This window comes from Homo sapiens, chromosome 5 (assembly GCF_000001405.40).
Source record: "Homo sapiens chromosome 5, GRCh38.p14 Primary Assembly".
NCBI classification, from domain to species: Eukaryota; Metazoa; Chordata; class Mammalia; order Primates; family Hominidae; genus Homo; species Homo sapiens.
The window spans coordinates 84,992,426-85,001,673 of NC_000005.10; the positions used below are offsets into that span (position 1 = coordinate 84,992,426).

Below are 9,248 nucleotides of genomic sequence, written 5' to 3' on the forward strand. Positions count from 1 at the left end.
TTTCAGATACGATGAGTTAAAGGCGTAGATAGATTTCTTCACTGAAATAATTCTCATAATTTTAATAAAGTATTTTGCATTATGGAGACCTGTGAGGGCAGAGGTATGGAATAGAGGGTTTTTTCCCCTAAATATATTTAGGCTTTCTTCTGAGAAGATTACTTGGAGCTGGTTCTCCATCAAGCAAAGTAGAAAAAAAATAGACTTTATTTATTTATTTATTTATTGGTTGGGTTTGAATTTAACCTGCTTGGTGGATTTGATTCTTTATATAAGGGGGTGAGGAATAGATGGAAATGCAGTTATCCTATTGACATTGGACTGTTTGTCGCTTGTTTATTCTGTTAATATTCTTTCTTGGTTTTGTAGACTCTGACAGTGGTATAGGCTTGATTTAAGAAGACGTTAGGAAATCATAAGCTAGAGAAGTAATGAAAATTTTCCTGAAGACTTCTTCGTCTCCTTTCTTAGCATATTGTATAGATGAAACTGGTGTCTAACCAGATTGCCAAAATATTTTTGTGGGTTGATTTAGAGACCGGTCCCTTAGATAACTTGCTGTGAGGAGAGTAAAATTGTTTACTTTCTTTAAGATCTAAGACAGTATCATCCATATGTTTTCTTTTGTTCAAAGGGAAAGTAGGACTCAAAACTTAAATTCATGTTTATTCAAGTGTATCTCATAGATATTCAAGAATTAAACTCATCTGTTATATGTAATTAAAATTCTTAGGGGTACTTATAATATAATTGAATTATAAGGTGCCCTGCGAGCTTTGCCACCTTGAGGGAGAAAACTATAAAATGAAATGGCTCTCTGGCTGACTGCAAAATGAAGTAGGCCCTCATAATTCATTTACAGATGATCCCAAGATCCTTAGAACCTGAATAACTAGTGAGACTTTTTAAGAATTTTTGTCTTTTTAAGATTTATGTAACCATGTACTTAGCTTCTTTTCTTTATTAAAGAAAATCATATGAAGTTTCTCAATGCCTCATGTCATTTGGAACTTTTTAAAATTCTTTTTTGATACCAGTCCAGATTAACATAATTTAAATTTTTATTTTTTAATTACTTGTTTTTGTTCACTTTATGAATATTTTCTTCAGGAAAGTTTTAGTAATGAAAGAAAATAAAATTATAAGCCAGTGTTTATAATGCCACAGATATGTGTTTTTAATATACATTTGTCTGAAGGTGTATAATAAAGCCAAATGGTTGCTTTAGTTTAGGAGGTGGGGAGAGGGAGAGAGAGACAGAGAGAACATGTAAACCACACAGAACACAGGGGTGGATTGTGGTTCTTTCTAATCCTTTTTTAAAACATTTATTTTAGATTCAGGGTTACATGTGCAGGTTTGTTTTACAGGTACATTGTGTCATGGGGGTTTGGTGTACAGTTTATTTTATAAGCCAGGTAATAAGCATAGGACCTTACAGGTAGTTTTTTGACCCTCATCCTCCTCCCAGCCTCCACCCCCAAATAGGCCTGATGTTTGTTCCCATCTTTGTGTCCATGTGTCCTCAATGTTTAGTGCCCACTTATAAGAGAGAACATGCAGTATTTGGTTTTCTGTTCCTGCGTTAATTCACTTAGGATAACCGTCTCCAGTTCCATTTATGTTGCTGCAAAGACATGATCTCATTTTTTTATGGCTGCATAATATGTCATGGTGTATATATACCACATTTTCTTTCTCCAGTCAAACATTCATGGGAATTTAGGTTGACTCCATATCTTTGCTGTTGTGAATAGTGCTGCCATGAATTTAGGCATGCATGTGTTTTTTGGTGGAACAATTTACATTCCTTTGGGTAGACACCCAGTAATGAGATTTCTGGGTCGAATGGTAATTTAAGTTATTTGAGAAACTGCCAAACTGCTTTCCACAATGGAAATTTACATTCCAAGCGGCAGTGTATAAGCGGTCCCTTTTTTCCACAACCTTGCCAGTATATGTTGTTTTTAACTTTTTAATAATTGCCATTCTGACTGATGTGAGGTGGTATCTCATTGTGGTTTTCATTTACATTTCTCTAATAAATAGTGATCCCATACTAATTCCTTTTCCTTGCATTCATTTGTTCACTTTGTGGAAAGTAGAATCTGAAAGGACAATATTCTCTCTGATTATTAATCAGTATATAATACAGTATCTCAATGATGAGGAGGAATATGGCACAATATGTTTACCTACTCCATGGACTACCTACTTCTTAATTATCCAGAATTATTTGTTTGATTAACATGATACTTTTCTATACAGTGATATATTCACTGTAGATACCAGGGACATAAATATACCAGTGGGGAAGAAACACTAATTTCAGAAAATTAAGAATATATATGTATATTAAAAAATAAATTAAAAACAGCAGTTTCTGGTGGGGAAGTACTGTGAAAATTGGATCAGTACTTTCAGATTACTAGTTCAAAAGCAAATCATCATTAGGATTATATTTCAATCTCTATCTTTTTCTATTCAATTTTTCATATCTCAGCTGCATTAACCAAGTGGAACCTTCACAATCACTAAAGCACTCCATTAAAATTCCATATAATGGTGTCAGTGCTCTGCTTGATTTCATGTGGACTCTGGTTAACACAGCTTTTGGATGGGACCTATTAGTCAGAATGGGGCTTACACGTAGGCTGATTCTGATTCAACATTTTAAATGCCATTGACACTATGGACTTGCTGTAGAAGTCTCCATACACCTTTTATTCAGATGTGGCACCTGTTTGATTCATTTTAATTGTTTTATAATCTTATTTCCCTAATGTCTAAGTGCTTGCAGTTTTATTTATTCCAAAGCATCATAGACCTATCTGTGATGAATGCATGACCATTATGCTGTAACAGAGAAACAACAATGATCATGGAATTCTCAATGCAGTGTTTTTAAGGAGATTTTTACAAAGAAAATTGTAATTCTCTGCCTGGGATATATAATGATAAGGACCATAGTTATTACATTTGTCATAGGAAGTTTTTTTAATACACAATGCATGAAAGCTGCCATATAAGTGCCATAGCATTTAAATTTTTTGCATGTCTTTCTTTTTTCTGCTCTTAAAACTAGTTCATTTATTTAAAATAAAGGTAATTCCTTTAAAAATTGTTTTGCTTAGCAAAGGCATAGGTTAAATTTCTCTCTTAGTTATTGTGAATAGAAGTTGTTTTAATTGTGTCTAGAGGGACTTACTTGCTTCATATCATCTTATTAAATCATATTCTGACAAAAAGCTAATTTGGCAGTGGAGTATATAACCTTGATTGTAACCTAGATTTTTAAACTTTCTGAATGAAGTAATAAATACGCATAAACTCCCCATACACATGTATGATTGATAGATGGATAGCTAACTACCTAGCTAGCTAGACACTAAATATTGATTTAGCTCACTAGATTGGCACAGATCAAACATATGTTTTGAATATCCACAATTCTTTAGAAGCACCTTTTTTGCATTCTATTATACCTACCACTCTCTCCAGTGGGAAACCAATGCTTTGACCTCTAACACAACTTCATGTCTGGTTTTGATCTTTAAATAAGTTTAATCTTATATGCCTTCTAATTTTTGTGTCATCTTACTTTTAATATTATATTTAACGTAGCCATTTATGCAATAGATCAGAGTTATATTTGTTCATTTTTATTGTGATATGCAGTTACTATTTTTCAAAAGGATAGCCAATCGAAACAGCTTCATTTATTGAAAACATACTTTGTCCCACAGCAATATAATGTGATTTTAGTCACAATCAAACGTCCACGTGAATGTGTATCTATTTATTGAATCTTTTCTGTTTCCTTATTTGTTTATTATTTCACTAATACCACACTTTATTATTATAATTCTATAAGGCTTACTATTAAATAGTTTATTTTTTCACATTGTTTCTTTTCCTTGACTATTCTTTTGACTTTACATCTCATATGTTTTTCAACTTTGTATTGAAGTAAAGTGTACATAAATGTACAGCTTAATAAATGTTTTCAAATACATCACAGTCCTTATCAGCACCCAGAGCAAGAATGCAACCAAATATAGTCCCAGCACTCAGGACTGACTTCCTTGTTCCCTTCCCTTCATTATACTCTCTTTCTAGGATCACCTCACCACTATTCTGACTTTTTCTAATAGTGTAGTTTGGATTTGTCTGTATATTTACTATACACATATGGAATAATGTGGTAATCTTTGGTGTTTAGTTTTAATTGCAGAGCACTATAATTGTGAAATTCACACAAGTAGTTGGATGTAGCTGTTTGCATTGTGGTATAGTGTTCCAAATATACCAAAATGTACTATCTCTCTTATTGGTGATGGATATTTGGGTATTTTCTAGTTTTTGTCTGATATAAATAATAGTGCTAGAAACATTCCAGCACATGACTGTTAGTGACTTCTATATACAATTTTGGTGTTTATTTAAGAATAAAGATGTTCAGATGTAATATATCCTATTGTTTTACTTACCCATTGTTGCATGACAAGTCACTGCAAAGCTCAAGAGTTTTATAAGAACAATCATTTTATATTCTCTTGGTTCTGCAGTCTGGACTGGACTATCTAGGCAGATTTTCTGCTAGTGTTTTTGCCTCATGTAGCTACCTCTAATGGTTTGGTTGGAGCAAGACTTAGCTGGAAGAATGGGGCAGCATGTCTGTTATCTTCATGTAATTGTAGTTTCTTTATGTGGTCTCTCCGGAATGATGAATGAACTTCTAACATGTTGCCCAAAGCTCCCAATAGTGCAAAAGCAGGAGTGGCCAGACCCTTTTTAAGCTTAACGCACTGTATTAGGACAAGCACTGCATCATTTTCACTGCACTTTATTGCCAAAATTATTACCTAGGTCCAGGTCGGATTCAAGAAAATGGGACTCCACAAGAGCATGAATACTGAGAATAGTCAACACAATAGATTATAACATCTACCTTAATAGTTACGGAAACTGCTTGCTGAGATATTTCATTCTTAGACTGTGCTTTTCAGATATTGAAATTGAGGTTATGCTGGATTTGTGAAAAAAGCTAGAGGCCGGGCACCGTGGCTCACGCCTGTAATCCCAGCACTTTGGGAGGCCGAGGCGGGCGGATCACCAGGTCAGGAGATGGAGACCATCCTGGCTAACACGGTGAAAACCCGTCTCTACTAAAAATTAAAAAATAAAAAATTAGCCAGGCGTGGTGGCAGGTGCCTGTAGTCCCAGCTACTAGGGAGGCTGAGGCAGGAGAATGCCATCAACCCAGGAGGCGGAGCTTGCAGTGAGCCGAGATCGCGCCACTGCACTGCAGCCTGGGTGACAGAGCGAGACTCTGTCTCAAAAAAAAAAAAAAAAAAAAAAAAAAGCTAGAAAGTTTTCTCTCTTTTCTATTCCTGGAACTATTCATGCAATATTCATGTTTTTTTCTTTCTTAGCTAGTTGGAAAAATTCACCAGTGAAGCCATATGAGCTTGGGGTTTCTTTGTCGGAAAGTTTTAAACCAAAGGTATAATTTTTAGGATAAATATTGGATGATTCATATATTTTGTTAGTATTTGGGAAGTTGTATTTTTGAAAATAATGTCCATTTAATACATATTTTAATATTTAGGAATAATTTGTATCCTCTTTTACTCCTTTTGATATCTGAGGGAATGGTGCAAGTGTCCTCTTTTTCATTTCTGATATTGATAAGTTGTTATTTATGTATTTTTTATTCATAATTTCTAGTAAAAGTTTATTAGTTCTATTAGCCTTTTCAAAAACTAACTTGTTTTTATTGATTTTGTCTTTTTAATGTTTTTGCTATATTCGTTAATTTTCGGTCTATATTATTTGTTTATTTCTACTTTCTTTGATGTCGACTTGTTGTTACTTTATTGGATTCTTGAAATGAAAGTTTAGTTGACTTGTTTTAAGACTTTTCTTTTCTAATAAATGTGTTTTAAGAGTATACGTTTATTCTAACCATTGATTGAGTTTAGTCCTATACATTTTGTATGTCATACCTCATTATCACAGTTCACACTCTTTAAAATTTATTTTGATCATTATTAATCTTATATAGTTTAATTACATTTATTTGAATTTTCTACTTATTTTCCTTTTTAGGGTTAAATAACAGTATCAAAACTATGCTGTGATGAAGAAAAAAATTAAGTACTTCTGAAGCTTTATTGTCCAGCTTGTAATTCCTTTATTTTATTTTTATAAATATTCCAAATATATTTGAAAGAAATGTGAATTCTTTTAATTTTGGGGGTAAATATTCTGTAGATACTGATTAGTCAACTTTGTTCTTTTTTTTTTTTTTTTTTGAGACGGAGTCTCGCTCTGTCGCCCAGGCCGGACTGCGGACTGCAGTGGCGCAATCTCGGCTCACTGCAAGCTCTGCTTCCCGGGTTCACGCCATTCTCCTGCCTCAGCCTCCCGAGTAGCTGGGACTACAGGCGCCCGCCACCGCACCCGGCTAATTTTTTGTATTTTTAGTAGAGACGGGGTTTCACCTTGTTAGCCAGGATGGTCTCGATCTCCTGACCTCATGATCCACCCGCCTCGGCCTCCCAAAGTGCTGGGATTACAGGCGTGAGCCACCGCGCCCGGCCAACTTTGTTCTTATCTTCATTATCTTTCCTGTTTTTTTCCCTAACAGCTGATAGTGGTATGTTATAGTTTGCCAGTGTCATTATGATGTCACTATGTCTTCTTTGCTCATTTTGAATTTTTGCATTCTGTGTTATGAAGATGTTATTGGCTGTATTCATAGGTAGCCTATATTCCTGATGCTTTCACCTGCTTATCAATATTAAATGTCCCTCTTCATCTCTAATAAAGTTTCTTGCCTTAGAGTATATTTTGTCTGATAGTATTATAGCTACATCAGTTTTTTGGTGGTTATATTCCTTCTAGTTTCAAACTATCTGTGTACTAATTTTTATACAGTCTGAATATCTAAGATTTTTATTTGAATCAGATAACCCTAGGGAAAATCAAACCCAATATTTAGGCCAATTTTCTGGATTGTCCTCTTCTAAAAACTGGCTACAAATTTATTTGTTATCTTGTTAGTGTTTTAGTTTCATCAAGTACATATTTTAAAAACTTGTAATTTTTATAGAATTACCAATTCTTCTCTTGGAGTAGTGTTTCCAAATCACTTCACCAACAACTACCAGAAATTCTTTTTTGTTATTTAGTTTTAATTTCATAATCATAAACTCTGCAATCCAGCTAGGCATGGAAGGGAACAAAGAAAACATGAAGTCCAAAGGGAACTGCAGCGAGAGCACAAAGATTCTAAGATACTGCGAGCAAATGGGGTGGAGGGGTGCTCTCCTGAGCTACAGAAGGAATGGTCTGGTGGTTAAGATAAAACACAAGTCAAACTTACTAGAGTTTTCCACAGTCAACAATGGTGATCTTTCTAGTCTTGCCATTCCTGAAGTGTTCCATAGCCTATGGCCTTCACAATATTCATGCCTTCTTTCTCCTTGCCAAAGACCAAATGCTTGCCATCCAACCACTCAGTCTTGGCAGTGCAGATGAAAAACTGGGAAACGTTTGTGCCAGGTCCAGCATTTGCCATGGACAAGATGCCAGGACCTGTATGCTTTAGGATGAAGTTCTCGTCATCAAATTTCTCCTGGTAGATGGACTTGCCACCAGTGCCTTTATGGCGTGTGAAGTCACCACTCTGATACATAAACCCTGGAATAATTCTGTGAAAGAAGGAACCCTTAGAACCAAATTCTTTCTCTCCAGTGCTCAGAGCACCAAAGTTTTCTGTTGTCTTTGGAAACTTGTCTGCAAATCTGCAAATAGCTTGACGGAGACACGGCCCAAGTTCTCGCCGTCTACGGCGATGTTGAAGAACATGGTAGGGTTGACTGTGCTTTGCAGAAACACTTTTTTAAAAATCCCTGTAAGTGTAATACCCCTACCTAACTGGGAATCTAATGCTTGCTATTAATAAACATGTTTGATTGTCTTCCTTCCAGGTACTCCATACTACAAGTTCTAAACCTACGTTGTTTTTGTATCTCAGACTCATTCACATAAAACCCAAAATAACTTTTTAGGTATTCAGACAGACATGAAAAGTGTAATCTCCCTTTCTACCAGAGAAGATTTTTTTCTCATTTGCAAGCTTTTAACTCATAGACACTAATCAATGGGGTGAAAAGCATGCATCTAATTTTAAAAATTATATTTCTAGTGTTTACCCTTTCTATTAAAAACTCCAATGAGCATTTTTTATAATGTTAAGCCATCTGCTATTGAATGTTTTGTGTTTTCACAACAAGCCTAAAGACACTAGGATGAATCAGATGTACTGGATCTCAGAAAACTGAAATGGGTAGATTTCTGTATGCCAAAGTTCATCCTTTCAGCAGGAATTTTGCCTTTCTGTAAATGGGAAGCTGTCTCTGACAATAGTGACTCATAATTTAGCTGTCATGCTCAACCACTTAGATGAAAGGCATGAGAAAACTCTAGAACTAGAGCCTTGGGAAGAAAGCCTGCCCAATGTCCATGAAAGAGCTCTTTCTTTCTTAACTTGCAATTTGAAAAAAATATATGAATGAATAATAAAATAAGCATTTATACAAATTTTTCTTTCATTCTATCCTTCTTTCAGTTTTTGTTTGTGATTTGGTAATAAACAAAGCCAATGAAACAATGATAGGCTGGGTGTGCTGACTTATGCCTATCATCTCAGCTCTTTGGGAGGGCAAGGCAGGAGGATTACTTGAGCCCAGGAGTTCGAGGTTGCAGCAAGCTATGATTGTGTCACTACACTCCAGCCTGGGCGACAGGGCAAGATCCTGCTTCTTAACACAAACAAACAAACAAAAATAGGCCTGAGCCATTTCAAAATTAATAAAATTGTCTAGTTTATCTCAAGGAGGGCAACAAGGTAAATTGTATTCACTCCTGAATACTTAAGCAAACTTTCCACCTCTAAAGGAATAACACTTATTAAAACATAAAGGCAGTCCTTGCTGTCAGAAATATTTTGACTTCCAGGTATTTTATTACTTAATTTAAAAAAAAACATTCAGGAAAATTGGCCACAGAAATTTTCTATGTTCTTATAATAAATTGCATGATGAATTATTTCATTTGAACTTTTTAGTATAACTATAGTTCATCACCAATTAAGTGAAATAGGAAACTGAGTTATCAATATTGACATGCTTATTTGATTGACAATACACTTAGAATAAGACCTCCCACAAAATGCATTT

At 34.9% G+C, this 9,248-nt stretch overlaps 1 pseudogene; it reads right to left on the reverse strand.

Moving 5' to 3' along the window:
- Positions 1 to 7,192: 7,192 nt before the first annotated feature.
- Positions 7,193 to 7,887, reverse strand: PPIAP79 (peptidylprolyl isomerase A pseudogene 79; annotated as a pseudogene).